The 14,668-nt window shown below is 41.5% G+C and overlaps 1 protein-coding gene across 11 annotated transcripts in view, besides 1 other annotated feature; it reads right to left on the bottom strand.

The window, feature by feature from the left end:
• Window positions 1–14,668, bottom strand: part of ITCH (itchy E3 ubiquitin protein ligase) — a 148,501-nt gene that overhangs the window by 115,530 nt on the left and 18,303 nt on the right. For 6 of the 11 annotated variants that reach the window (NM_001257137.3, NM_031483.7, NM_001257138.3 and 3 more), the window contains one exon: window positions 2,363–2,453. The exons of 1 other annotated variant lie outside the window; for it this stretch is intronic. In NM_001257137.3, the coding sequence (NP_001244066.1) occupies window positions 2,363–2,432 (70 nt within the window). In that variant the 5' untranslated portion in view covers window positions 2,433–2,453. Of the gene's footprint in view, window positions 1–2,362; window positions 2,475–3,329; window positions 4,314–14,668 lie in introns of those variants that run through there. 4 more of the 11 variants (NM_001324197.2, NM_001324198.2, XM_017028089.2 and 1 more) reach the window with 3 other exon arrangements.
• Window positions 296–397: a silencer, noted in NCBI's record as "fragment chr20:32983653-32983754 (GRCh37/hg19 assembly coordinates)". NCBI's record gives its function as "represses an EF-1alpha promoter that drives an FKBP-Casp9 reporter gene in an ReSE screen in phorbol 12-myristate 13-acetate-treated (for megakaryocytic differentiation) K562 erythroleukemia cells {active_cell/tissue: K562(+PMA)}" and the evidence as "EXISTENCE:reporter gene assay evidence [ECO:0000049][PMID:32094911]".

Below are 14,668 nucleotides of genomic sequence, written 5' to 3'. Positions count from 1 at the left end.
TGGCCAACATGGTGAAACCCCGTCTTTACTAAAAATACAAAAATTAGCTACACATGGTTGTGCGTGCCGGTAGTCCCAGCTACTCAGAAGACTGAGGCATGAGAATCACTTGAACCCGGGAGGCGGAGGTTGCAGTGAGCCGAGATCACACCACTGCACTCCAACCTAGGCAACAAAGCAAAACTCTGTCTCCAAAAAAAAAAAAAAATAATAATAATAATAATTTGGAATTCCTCAAAATGCTAATAAACATGGATTCCATATAACCTAGGAATTTCACTCTTAGGTATATACCCAAGAAAACTGAAAACATACATTCTCACAAAAACTTGTACACAAATGTTTATAGCATTTTTCATAAAATCCAAAAAGTGGAAACAACCCAAACATCCCTCAACTGAAGAATGGATTTTTAAAATTTCGTATACTCATACAATAAAATATTATTTAGCAAAAAAAGGAATTAAGTAATGATACATGCTACAACATGGATGAACTTTGAAAACAGTCTGCCCAAAGAAGACACAAAAGGCCACACACTGTACAATTCCATTTATATGCGAGATCCAGAATAGGCAAATCTAGAGACAGAAAGATCAGGAGTTGCCTGGGTTTGTGGATGGATGGGTTAAATGGAGAGTGACTGCTAATGAGTACAGGGCTTCTTTTTGGAAGGACGAAATTATTTTAAAGTTGATTGTGGTGATGGTTGCTGAACTCTGTGAATGTACTTTTGGGGTTCAGAAACTGATATCCCAAAATATGGTGCTTTGACTTGCTGAACTAAGTAAGTCTCTCAAGGTCTCTCTGACCCCTGCAGCTCCCCTCCCTCAATCTTCTTTCTCTCAAAGTACAGCATGAAGTTGTTTTCTGAAGTTCTCTTATCTGCCTAAGTCCAGATCCACCAAAGAAGAAAACAATTACAATTACCTTTGTTCCCATCCCTGAGTTTTCAATAACTAAACTTGTATAGCAGGAATATAAAAACTGAAGTCTTTTTTTTTTTTTTTTGAGATGGAGTCTCGCTCTGTCGCCCAGGCTGGAGTGCAATGGCATGATCTCGGCTCACTGCAACCTCCGCCTCCTAGGTTCAAGTGATTCTCCTGCCTCAGCCTCCCAAGTAGCTGGGATTACAGGTGTGCACCGCCACGCACAGCTAATTTTTTTTATTTTTAATAGAGACGGGGTTTCACCATGTTGGCCAGGCTGGTCTCAAACTCCTAATCTCAGGTGATCTGCCCACCTCGACCTCCCAAAGTGCTAGGATTACAGGTGTGAGCCACCGTGCCTGGCTGACTGAAGTCTTTTAACAGACCTGGACCTGGAGAGACTTTTGTCATAAACCACTATCTATTCTGTGGGCCAAACAGACTTTGTCCCAGGCCATTGTACATTCTTCGAGCCCTCTGAATTCCCCTAAAAATCATTTACCATCCCTCTAAAATCATCCACACTTCCCCATCTCCCTTTCCCCTATGAAGAAGAGTATATAACCATTTTGTACCCCATTGCATGATGGGGTAATCATTCTGTGATCCATCCCACCCCTACCCATGCATGCTAATAAGATGTACGCCTTTTCTCCTATTTATCTGCCTTTTGTCAGGCCCTAGTGGGAGGATCATTTAAGCCCAGGTGTTCGAAACCAGCCTGGGCATTATAGTGAGACCCCATCTCTACAAAAAACTGCAGAATTTGCTGGGCATGGTGGTGCACGACTGTAGTCACCACAGCAGGAGGCTGCATGATTGTGTCATTGTTATAAGTAAATAAATAAATGGGTAACCTGTAGGGGATATGAATTATATCTCAATAAAGCTGTTAATACAATACCAAACAAACATAATTAGCAACTACCCAGGTACCCATGTTGAAGGAAAAAAAAACTGTAAAATATCCAAGAATATTCTACAATAAAAATTACATATCTATATATCTTCATTCATTCATTCAGCAAATATTAATTGAGCACCTGACATGTAACAGCCATTAAATATTTTGTTCTCTTAAGTTTTTTTTTTTTTTTTTTTTTTTGAGACAGTCTCACCCTATCACCCAGGCTGGGGTGCAGTGGCGCAAACTCAGCTCACTGCAACCTCTACCTCCCAAAGTCAAGTGATTCTCACGCCTCAGCCTCCGGAGTAGCTGGGACAGCAGGTGTGCACCACCATGCCCAACTAATTTTGTATTCTCCATGTTGGCTTGGCTGGTCTCAAACTCCTGGCCTCAAGTGACCCGCCCACCTCAGCCTCCCAAAGTGCTGGGATTACAGGCATGGGCCACCATGCCTGGCCCTCTCAGGATTATTTTTTAATCATACGGGGAAAAATAAAGTAAAGCAGCCGATGTTTCTAAAACTTACCAGTGATCTGAAGCTGTGATTTCATGGTGAGGCTACCCATTGAACCAAGTTGTGATCCACTGTCAGACATACCACCAATAGGTTGGAAAACCTGAACATGGCAAAGGAGACACTGTAAACATCAAAAATTCCCATTAAAAACATATATAAATAGTGCTAACCTGGCTATTTATTACTGAAGACCATGTAACAAAGGCCTTTACATTACTAAACACAATTTTCAATTCTAGTCTTTATCCTACCTAACTTATTGGCAAAATCTGACATGGCTGTTCATCCCCTCCTCCATGTTTTACTTTCTTCCCTTCAGTTCCCAAGATATATTCTCCAGGTTTGTGTCCTACCACACAGATTGTTCCTTCTCAGTATCCTCTGATGATTCCTTTTCTCCATTATCTTAACGCTAACATATCCTAGATCTTAGTTCTTGGTTCCCTATTCTATCTACACTCATTCCCTTGAGGATATTACCCAGTCCCCAGTAGGTAAGACTATAAGTGGGTGCCACCATGCTCGCCTAATTTTTTTAATTTTTGGTAGAGACAGGATCTCACTATATTGCCCAGGCTGGTTTCAAACTCCTGGGCTCAAGTGATCCTCCCACCCTGACTTCCCAAAGTGCTGGATTACAGCGTGAGCCACCACACCTGACCAAATTACCCATTTAGAAGTCAATGCTTGTTAGTAATACAGGGGCCAAAAGAAGACTTCCCCTTTGCCCAGTGAAGGTTCGCTGAAAATCGTCTGACAAAACGCAGGCAGATAAATTGGAGAAAAGGCATACATAACTGTTAGCATGCATGAGTTGGGGTGGGGTGGATCACAAAATGATCACCCCATCACGCAATGGGGTACAGATGATTATAAACTGGAGGATATTACCTATCCAGATAGCTTTAAATAGCATCTATATAACATGTCCCAAGCAACTTTATTTACTTATTTATTTTTTGAGAAAGATTCTCACTCTGTCACCCAAGCTGGGGTGTTCTGGAGCGCCTCCCGGGCTGGGGGGGTCCTTCTGCTTCAGCCTCCTGAGTAGCTGGGACCACTGGTGCACACCACCACTCCCCAACCAGGAGGTCAAGTCTGCAGTGAGCTATGATCACACCACTGTACTCCAGCCTGGGCAACAGAGGAAGACCCTACCTCAAAAAAGAAGAAATAAGATACAATAAAAAATAAAATCAAACTAAATGTACTTGGCACTTACTGTTTGCCAGGCACTATGGAAGAAGTACACAAATACAATAAGGCAAACAAAATGCCTTGAAACTGTAAACGCTGTCTTGAGTTTTTATGCAAATTTAGGTTTCTGTTTAAAAGTTTAAATATAAAACAATTATGATGGCTTCTCAATTCTGCAAAAATGAAATAGAACAATAATTCCTACTGAGATGAACCCTATAAAATCCAACCTACTTCATTCTGTGCTTACATACAAAAATGCTCAAAGCTAAAATTTCGTCTCAACCATAAGGACTAGCTCATTTTCTTGGCATAATACATATATTTTTTTCCTTTACCTTGTTTATTTAAATTACACTATTTCAGATGTTTTATAACCAAAATCTGCTAAAAGAACCCTCTTATTTTAAATATGAAAGGTAAACATCATAAAGTCAATAGAAGTCATCCAGAATACATTCAGAAATGAGATGTAACCTAAAAGCCTTAACACCATATTGCACAAGATATTATTCTGATTCAAATGGCTTGTTATGGACAAGGGTCCTCAAAGACATCATTATCACATTATGTAGTTATTACTTCCTCCTCAATATCCAAAAGCCTGATTGCCATAGAACGACAATATTTAAAAAAGTAAATTAAGGGGCAGTGAGAAAAGTCCAATATCTGGCTGCTGATATTCTGCATGATAAAGGTACTCATCTCCATCAACAGTCGCTCATCTCCACTAATAATTTATTGCAAGAAAATGCCCTAATAGTACAGTATAAATTATTCTAAATATAAATTAACATTAATTACAAAGTTGCAAAAAATTTTAAATCTCTACAAAAATTAAGTATATTTTAAAAACTAAAATTAACTTCATGTAGAAAAGATTAATGAAAGCACAGACTGCAAACATTTTTAAGAACAATGACTCTCCAGATAATTACAGAGAATCATTATGGTAGAATTGTGAGGTGCTCTGCCAAAAACATCCTAGTAATTTCAATAATTTATGTACATATACATACTAGTTTTACATAACTAAAATTCACCAAGCATTTTAAATTCTTGAAAAGAATAAAAATCACTATTTGTATAATATCAAAAAAATTAGAAATAATGTATATTATCAATTGGCATATTCATATATTAAATCACATATTCATACCACAGAACAGATTACTATGCAGGTATCAAAATAAGTAACTTATTAATGACTGAAATTGAGAGATCCCAAGAACATCTTTAAAGCTGCAGAACAACATGCATGAGTTGGGGTGGGGTAGATCACAAAATGATCACCCCATCAGTATGTACAGTATGATATTATTTTTGCAAACTAAAACACTATATATTCCTATGGGTACAAATACTTGTAAATAAACGCAGAAAAAGTATACATTCCATTCAGGAGGAGGGCACCTGTGTACTCAAGTACGTGGTCATAGGGAACTGTAGTTTTGTATGTATTGTTTGAAGTTCTAAAAATAGGACATGTATCACTGTTGACTTGTACAATTTTAAAAACAGCATAAAACAGAGTAGAAAAAAATAGATAATCCACACTTCAAGTCCCATCCTCTCCCCTGAGCGCCAGATTCTTAGTTCTATTATTTACAACTGCATACATGGTTAAAATGATTAAATCTAGGCCGGGCGTGGTGACTCACTCCTGTAATCCCAGCACTCTGGGAGGCCAAGACGGGTGAATCACCTGAGGTCAGGAGTTCAACACCAGCCTGGCCAACACGTTGAAACCCCGTCTGTATTAAAAATACAAAAAATTAGCTGGGCGTGGTGGTGGATGCTTGTAATTCCAGCTACTCGGAAGTCTGAGGCAGGAGAATCGCTTGAACCCGGGAGGCAGTAAGCCAAGATTGCGCCATTGCACTCCAGCCTGGGCAACAGGAGCAAAACTCCATCTCAAAAAAGAAAAAAAAAAGATTAAATCTAGGCTGGGCACAGTGGCTCAAGCCTGTAATCCCAGCACTTTGGGAGGCTAAGGTAGGTGGATCACCTGAGGTCAGGAGTTCGAGACCAGCCTGGCCAACATAGTGAAACCTCGTCTCTACTAAAAATACAAACATTAGCCAGGTATGGTGGTACACGCTTGTAATCCCAGCTACTTGGGAGGCTGAGGCGGGAGGATCGTTGAACCTGGAAGGCTGAGATTGCAGTGAACCAACATCGTGCCATTGCACTCCAGCCTGGGCAATAGAGCTAGACTTCATCTCAAAAAAAAAAAAAAAAAAAAAAAAAGATTATTCTTGTCAATTCTATACCATGTATTACAGAAGACATTATAGCATGGTAATTATGTATGCCAACTGTGAAGTCAGACAGATCTAGATCAACATTCCTGAACTGTTACTCTGTGAACTTGAGCAAATTACTGAATTTCTCTAAGCCACACTTTCTTCATCCATAAATGTAGATAATCTATAATTTATAGTTTCATTTTAAAGACTGACAGAGTATCTGCAGAATTAAAGACAGTTGTAGGAAAACTGCCTGTTGCATGCAAGAGTGATGCCATCTTGAAGTGAAACCATCATGCTAACCAATTTTTTTCTTTTTTTTTTTGAGACAGAGTCTCACTCTGTTGCCCTGGCTGAGTGCAGTGGCACAGTCTTAGCTCACTGCAACCTCCACTTCCCAGGTTCAAGCGACTCTCCTGCCTTAGCCTCCCCAGTAGCTGGGACTACAGGCACCCACAACCACACCTAGCTAATTTTTGTATTTTTAGTAGAGATGGGGTTTCATCATGCTGGCCAGGCTGGTCTCAAACTCCTGACCTCAAATGATCCACCCACCTTGGCCTCCCAAAGTGCCTGGCCCTGACCAATGTTTGATTCCTGCATACCAAGGTGTTCTTCAGCAGAGTCTTTAAACAATGCCTGTAACATAGATAACCCCTTAAAAAGATGCTTATCTAACCTCCCCAGTGGTCATGACTTTGAGTAATAAAGTCTGAAACATGACCACCTGCACATTACCCTAAAGGGATAATGTCCCTAATGGACACTTTCTAGTGGTTGTAGGGATCTACTATCTCATGGCCAACCAAGACATCACTTCTGTTCCTAAGTTTCTACTGAATATGTTTTTCTAAGAAACTGGATTTCTTAGTCTCTTTCCCATTTTCTTACAGTTAATCTTTTTCACCCTCAAGTGTTTCTCTTTTGTAGCATCTAGTCTGCAGTTCCTTTCCCAGGAAGTCAAAATTAGTGACTAAAATCTGCATATTCTTACTGCATTGTTACTCACACAGAGAGCATGGCATCAATTTTTATAATTCTAATTACAGTTGGCTCTTGTCCAACAACTGGTTTGAACTGCACAGATCCACTTATATGCAGCCTTTTTTCAACCACACACAGATTGAGGCCAGGAGCAGTGGCTCACGTCCGTAATCCCAGTACTTTGGAAGGCTGAGCAGGGAGGGTTGCTTGAGCCCAGAAGGTTGAAAGCAGTGTGGGCAACATAGTGAGACTTCATTTCTATTTAATTAAAATTTTTTAAAAAATAATAAAAAATAAAAATAAAAAACACCAATTGAAAATACAGTACTCATGGGATGTGAAACCCAAGTCTATGGGAAGGACTTTTCACATACGCAGGTTCCACAGGGCGTACTTCAGAGCATGCACTGACGTGGTTATATGTGGTGGTCCTAGAAGCAATCCCCACATATACCAAGGGATGATTGTATTTATATTATGGGTCTCTCTTAGATTTTCATTTTAAGTTCTAGGACAGCAAAAGTGCTCTTATCTTCATCTCTTGTTTTCTGTTATAAGGGGACTAAAGTGAAACTTTATGCATTGTGTTTTCACTTGTTGCCTTTGTGTTATCTTCATAGACCTAAGAACAAAAAAACATTCTTTGTAACTTCACATTCATAATTAGAGACTCTTTTGAATAGGCTATTAGTGCTCTCATTTGGAGGAGAAATGTTAGACAGTGGTGAGTGTTTTGGATTGTAATACATACTTTTAAGCCTTTGTATGTCTCAGTAAGAAAGATGTCCTAAATTCAAGTCCTTTTGAGGAGTTAGAGAAAACTTTGCCCTGAGTATCATAACTTTTTTGTTTATTGGTTGGACAGATATGTGAGAGCAAAATCCTGTCTCTACAGAAAATAAAAATAAATTAGCTGGATGTGGTGGTATGTGCCTGTTGTCCCAGTTAACGGGGAGGCTGAGGCACAAAGATCGCCAGAGACCAGCAGGTAGAGGCTGCAGTGAGCTGTGATAAGGCCACTGCAATCCATCTTGGGCGACAGAGCAAGACCTCATCTCAAAAAAAAAGAAAAGAAAGAAAAGAAAAGCAAGCAAACAAGATTTAAAAACAAACAAGCAAACAAACAAACTAAAAGCCTTCAGAAGACCAGCCTGGGCAATACAGTGAGACTCCCATCTCTACAAAAAATTTAAAAATTAGCCAGATGCAGTGGTGCATGCCTATAGTCCCAGCTACATGGGAGGCCAAACTGGGAGGACCGCTTGAACTCAGGAAGTTGAGGCAGCAGTGAACCGTGACTGCACCTCTGCATTCCAGCCTGGGCAACACAGTGAGACCGTGTCTCAAAAAAAAAAAAAAAGCCTTCACAAGTACAGCAGTATGCAATCTATAGCTTTACTTAGCACTGTAAACCATTGTGACTGGAACCAATGAAGATACAGTTTGAATCTAAATCATGGCTGGGTGCTGTGGCTCACGCCTGTAATCCCAGCACTTTGGGAGGCCGAGGCGGGTGGATCACAAGGTCAAGAGATTAAGACCATCCTGTCCAACATGGTGAAACCCTATCTCCACTAAAAATTCAAAAATCAGCCAGGCATGATGGCAGGTACCTGTAATCCCAGCTACTTGGGAGGCTGAGGCAAGAGAACCGCTTGAACCCAGGAGGCGGAGGTTACAGTGAGCTAAGATCATACCACTACACTCCAGTCTGGGTGACAGAGCGAGACTCCATCTCAAAAAAGAAAAAAAAAAATCTAGTAACAATATTTTAAAACTCTATTACCTATTAGTCTGTCAGTTACAAAGAAACTCAAAACAGGGTCTTTTTTTTTTTTTTTGAGACAGGGTCTCGCTCTGTTGCCTATGCTAGAGTGATCGAGCTCACTGCAGCCTCAACCACCTGGGCTGAAACAATCCTCCTGCTTCAGCCTCCTGAGTAACTGAGACTAACAGCCACATACCACAGGCCCATCTAATTTTTTACAGGGAGATAGAGACAGGGTCTCACTATATTGCCCGGGCTAGTCTCGAACTCCTGGGCTCAAGTAAGTCGTCCTCCTGCCTTGGCCTCCCAAAGTGCTGGGATTACAAGGATAAGCCACTGTGCCCAGCTGGGTCAATACTTAGCACTTTATAAATTTTTTTTTTTTTTTTTGAGACAGACATTCACTGTGTCGCCCAGGCTGGAGTGCAGGGGCGCAATCTCCCCTCGCTGCAACCTCTGCTTCCTGGGTTCAAGCAATTCTCCTGCCTCAGCCTCCCTAGTAGCTGGGATTACAGGCATGCATGACATCTGGCTAATTTTTTTTGTATCTTTAGTAGAGATGGGGTTTTGCCATGTTGGCCAGGCTGGTCTCGAATGCCTGACCTCAGGTGATCTGCCCGCCTCGGCCTCCCAAAGTGCTGAGATTACAGGCATGAGCCATCACACCCGGCCTATAAATCATTTATTTTGAGTAATGTTTACTACTACACTAGAAAAATGTGACAGATAGAATGCCCAATATAGAAAGAAGGTGCTAAAACACTGCCAGAGGTAAAATTAACCTTAACATCTTACTGAAAAGGCAGTGGAAACAAAAATGTGGAAAGGGATAGACATACTTCAGAAGATAATTTCAGTAATATCTTGTCTCTTAAGCAACAAACATTTATAGCCTTATTTTAAATATGTATCTTATTTATAGAGAAATTATTAAACAGGATATTGTGAAATTTGCTTGGTTTATTTTCAGAAATAACACACCCAACATAATCAGATATTTTTACAGGCCACATCTATTGTGACTTAGAAAACCTTTAAGTAATTTAATATAGCCCTATATTTTCTTAAAAGAATCCACCAAAATGACATTTCAGAAGACACAAAAAAACTAAGGAGAAAAACTGCTTGTGACAGAAAGTCCAGAGTTCAAAGAGCTAAAGTATATAGTGGTATTCAGAGAACTAAACCCTAATGAAGTCAAACTCTCAAACAATCTTACTATAAAATACAGAAGCATGTGTGGTAAATTAGAAATACATACCGAGTAGTATGTCTCCCTTGGACAGGGCTACTCTGTCATGTTCCCAAAAACACTACTCAAGTGAAAAACTAGATCCCATTATCTAGGGGCACAGTAGCAAAGACTAGCTAGAAGGAACACAGGAACATTTTTAGATCCCATTCTCTGCTAATAATCACAAAGGACCTTAGCCAGGTGTGGTGGCAGGCACCTGTGATCCCAGCTACTTGGAAGCTGAGAATTGCTTGATCCCAGGAGGCAGAGACTGCCATGAGCTGAGATCACACCACTGCACTACAGCCTGGACGAGAGATCAAGACTCTGCCTCAAAAAAACAAAACAAAACAAAAAAAAAAACAAAGGAGCCGACTTTGGTGCATGGGCTACTGAAGGTATTGGTAGAAGGAATAAAAGTTTATTTAGATTGGAGCAGAGGGTAAATACCCATTTCCATAATTTAATTTCTCAGCAAAGCAAGTGGGAAGAAACCCAAAACCCCTCATGATAGGGAAGGCGGTTGCTTTCCCATTTACTAGGAAAAATTGACTTAATTGACTTAACAAGGAGGTAGAATATGAACCATTCTCTACCATGTAACAGTGACACTTTGGTTCTGAACATCACACAATGATCTCAGAACACTAAAAGCTCCTTTCCCACTTTCCAACCAAATACATCAGTATGGATTCTAAAGCATATGCAAAAAAGGACAATTATACTGTTCAAAGAGAAAAAGAGGAAGCTACAACTTTCGAGGTTCAACAGTATGAACACAGAATTTAAGGAAATTGGCACCAGGATCTAACTTTTAGCATTCATTTGCTGGTTTGAACTCTGTACCTAATATTCCAGAAGGTGATCTCTTCCCCTTTCTGACAAACAGCTTTCTGACAAACATTTCAAAATTAACTATTATTACAAGTTGTTTCTAGCTTTGACTACTGCTAGAGTTTAAAGCATTTGCCACAATAAATATAAATATTGTTGTACTACTATAAGTATTGTTCTCTTGCAAACAATGCTTGTGTGAAATTATACATCTAATTATATATAATGTTGAATTTCCTGGCTCTAAGGAATCCTTGTTTCTGGCCAGAGGTGATGCTTCATGCCTGTAATCCCAGCACTTTGCAAGGCCAAGGTGAGCGGATCACCTAAGGTCAGGAGTTCGAGACCAGCCTGGCCAACATAGTGACACCCTATCTCTGCTAAAAAAAAAAAAAAAAAAAACCACACACACACACACACACACACACACACACATAAAATTAGCTGGACGTGGTGGCATGTGCCTACTGTGGTCCCAGCTCCTCGGTAGGCTGAGGCAGGAGAATGGCTTGAATCTCAGAGGCAGAGGTTACAGTGAGCTGAGATCACACCACTGCACTCCAACCTGAGCGACAGAGTGAGACTCGGTCTTAAAAAAAAAAAATTTTCTTGTTTCTGACCATCTCTAAATATCTATACATTCTCAAAATATAAGACCCTAATAGCCAGGTGCGGTGGCTCACGCCTGTAATCCCAACATTTTAGGAGGCCGAGGCAGGTGGATCACGAGGTCAGGAGATCAAGACCAACCTGGCTAACACGGTGAAACCCCGCCTCTACTAAAAATACAAAAAAAATTAGCCAGGTGTGGTGGCGGGCGCCTGTAGTCCCAGGTACTTGGGAGGCTGAGGCAGGAGAATGGCAAGAACCCGGGAGGCAGAGCTTGCAGTGAGCTGAGGACATGCCACTGCACTCCAGCCTGGGCGACAGAGCGAGACTCCGTCTCAAAAAAAAAAAAAAAAAAAAGACCCTAATATCCACCATGCCTCATCCTTCCAGCAAACTTTCCTCAGATCATTTCTAAACATTATTTGAGAATTACAGGCAGCTGGGCACGGCGGCTCAAGCCTATAATCTGAGCACTTTGGGAAGCTGAGGCGGGTGGATCACAAGGTCAGGAGTTCAAGACCAGCCTGCCCAAGATGGTCAAACCCCGTCTCTACTAAAAATACAAAAATGAGCTGGACATGGTGGCGCATGCCTGTAATCCCAGTTACTCAGGAGGCTGAGGAAGAGAATTGCTTGAAGCCGGAAGGCGGAGGTTGCAGTGAGACAAGATCACGCCACTGCACTCCAGCCTGGGCGACAGAGCAAGACTCTATCTCAAAAAAAAAAAAAAAAAAAAGAATTACAGGCCTCGGCTGGTCCAACTGCTGCACTGGTATTTACAACTAACTGATCACAACCAGTTACAGATTTCTTTGTTCCTTCTCCACTCCCACTGCTTCACTTGACTTAAAAAAAAAAAAAAAAAAAAGAGGCCGGACACAGTGGCTCATGCCTGTAATCCAAAAACACTTTGGGAGGCTGAGGCAGGTGGATCACCTGAGGTCAGGAGTTCAAGAGCAGCCTGACCAACATGAATAAATCCCGTCTCTACTATAAATACAAAATTAGCCGGGTGCAGTGGTGCATGCCTGTAATCTCAGATACTCGGGAGGCTGAGACAGAAGAATAGCTTGAACCCAGGAGGCAGAGGTTGCGACGAGCCAAGATTGTGCCACTGCACTCCAGCCTAGACAACAAGAGTGAAAACTCCACCTCAAAAAAAAAAAAAAAAAAAAAAAAGAATTACAGACCAGTCCTGGTGGCTCATGCCTGTAATCCTGGTACTTTGGGAGGCTAAGGTGAGAGGATCTCTTGAGCCTAGGAGTTCCGAGACCAACCTGGCCAACCCAGTGAAACCCCATTTCTATTAAAAAAAATAATAATAAATACACACATATATATATCAGCCAGGCACAGTGACAGTGGCTCATGCCTGTAATCCCAGCACTTTGGGAAGCCGAGGCAGGCAGATCACCTGAGGTCAGGAGTTCGAGACCAGCCTGACTAACATGGAGAAACCCTGTCTCTACTGATAATACAAAATTAGCTGGGCGTGGTGGCGCATACCTGTAATCCCAGCTACTCGAGAGGCTGAGGCAGGAGAATTGCTTGAACCAAGGAGGCGGAGGTTGCAGTGAGCCAAGATTGCACCATTGCACTCCAGCCTGAGCAACAAGAGCAAAACTCTGTCTCAAAAAAAAAAAAAAAAAAAAATCTATCAAGCCCAAGACTGGCATGGTGGCTCACGCCTGTAATCCCACCCCCAATACCTTGGGAGGTCAAGGTAGGAGGGTCGCTTGAGACCAGGAGTTCAACACCAGCCTGGGCAACATAGCAAGACACTATCTCTACAAAAAATAAAAATAAACTACCCAGGCATGGTGGTATGCACCTGTGGTCCCAGCTACTCAGGAGACTGACACAGGAGCATCGCCAGAGCCCGAGAGGTCAAGACTATAGTGAGCCATGATCATGCCACTGCATTCCCGGCTGAGCAACAAAGTAGGACCCTGTCTGAAAAAAAATTTAAAAAAGGACTGGGCGCGGTGGCTCATGGCTGTAATATCAGCATTTTGGGAGGCCGAGGCAGGCGGATCACAAGGTCAGGAGTTTGAGACCAGCCTGACCAACATGGTGAAACTCCGTTTCTACTAAAAATACAAAAATTAGCCAGGCGTGGCGGTGCGTGCCTGTAATCCCAGCTACTCAGGAGGCTAAGGCAGGAGAATTGCTTGAAGCCAGGAGGCAGAGGTTTCAGTGAACAGAGATCATGCCAGTGCACTCCAGCCTGAGCTACAAGGCAAGACTCTGTCTCAAAATAATAATAATAATAATAATAATAATAATAGTAATAATAAAAAGAATTATTGGCTGAGCGTGGTGGCTCACACCTATAATCCCAGCACTTTGGGAGGCCAAGGCAGGTGGATCACTTGTGGTCAGGAGTTCAAGACCAGCCTGGCCAACATGGTGAAACCCCATCTCTACTAAAAATACAAAAAAATTAGCTGGGCATGGTGGCAGGCGCCTGTAATTCCAGCCACTTGAGAGGCTGAGACAGAGAATCACTTGAACCCAGGAGGCAGAGGTTGCAGTATGCTGAGATCACGCCACTGCACTCCAGCCTGGGTGACAAGGCGAGACTCCATCTCAAGAAAAGAAAAAAGAATTATCAAGTAAACTGAAAGTCAATACTGAGTCACTGAGTAATATGTATATGCACTTTATTAACAAAATTCATGCATTTTCCTTAAAAGGAGCCAAAAAGCATTGTTATTCAGATTGTGTCAAAAACCTAGAATAAAATGACACAAATAAGAGTTTACATCCAAGAGCCCTCAATACTAGGAAGGGGAGAGGAACCAAATTACCACTTACCTATTAGGAAACAACTAGGATTATGAAAGCAAAGTCAATTCTACATTCCAATTTGAGTCTGTAGATTTTCACCTTAGCATTCTATCCCAAGATTAGCCCCTCCGATTAAATTCAAAAAGAAACAGAATAGAAATACTATTCCAAAGAAGGCAAAATACCACATACATCTTATTTGTTCTCACAGGTAAACAAATGGAAATCTAAGAAAGATTTACTGATTGTCCAGTAAGGCAAAGATTTTTGTAGATATGACACCAAACACGTTATTCATTAAAGAAAACAATTGAGAAATTGAGTGTTTTGAGTATTTCTTTCCATTTTTTTTTTTTTTTTTAGAGACAGGGACTTGCTCTGTTGACAGAGCTAGGGTACAGTGGTGTGATCATGGCTCACTATAGCCTGGAACTCCTGGGCTCAAGGGATCCTACTGCCTCATTCTCCCCCAAATAGCTGGGACTACATACAGGCACACACGCCAGGCGCGGTCGCTCACGTCTGTAATCTCAGCACTTTGGGAGGCCAAGGAGGGCGGATCACGAGGCAAGGAGTTTGAGACCAGTCTGGCCAACATGGTGAAACCCCGTCTCTACTAAAAAAACAAAAAATTAGCCAAGCATGGTGGC

This window comes from Homo sapiens, chromosome 20 (genome assembly GCF_000001405.40).
Source record: "Homo sapiens chromosome 20, GRCh38.p14 Primary Assembly".
NCBI lineage: Eukaryota > Metazoa > Chordata > Mammalia > Primates > Hominidae > Homo > Homo sapiens.
This window is presented reverse-complemented; position numbering and strand designations above follow the sequence as displayed.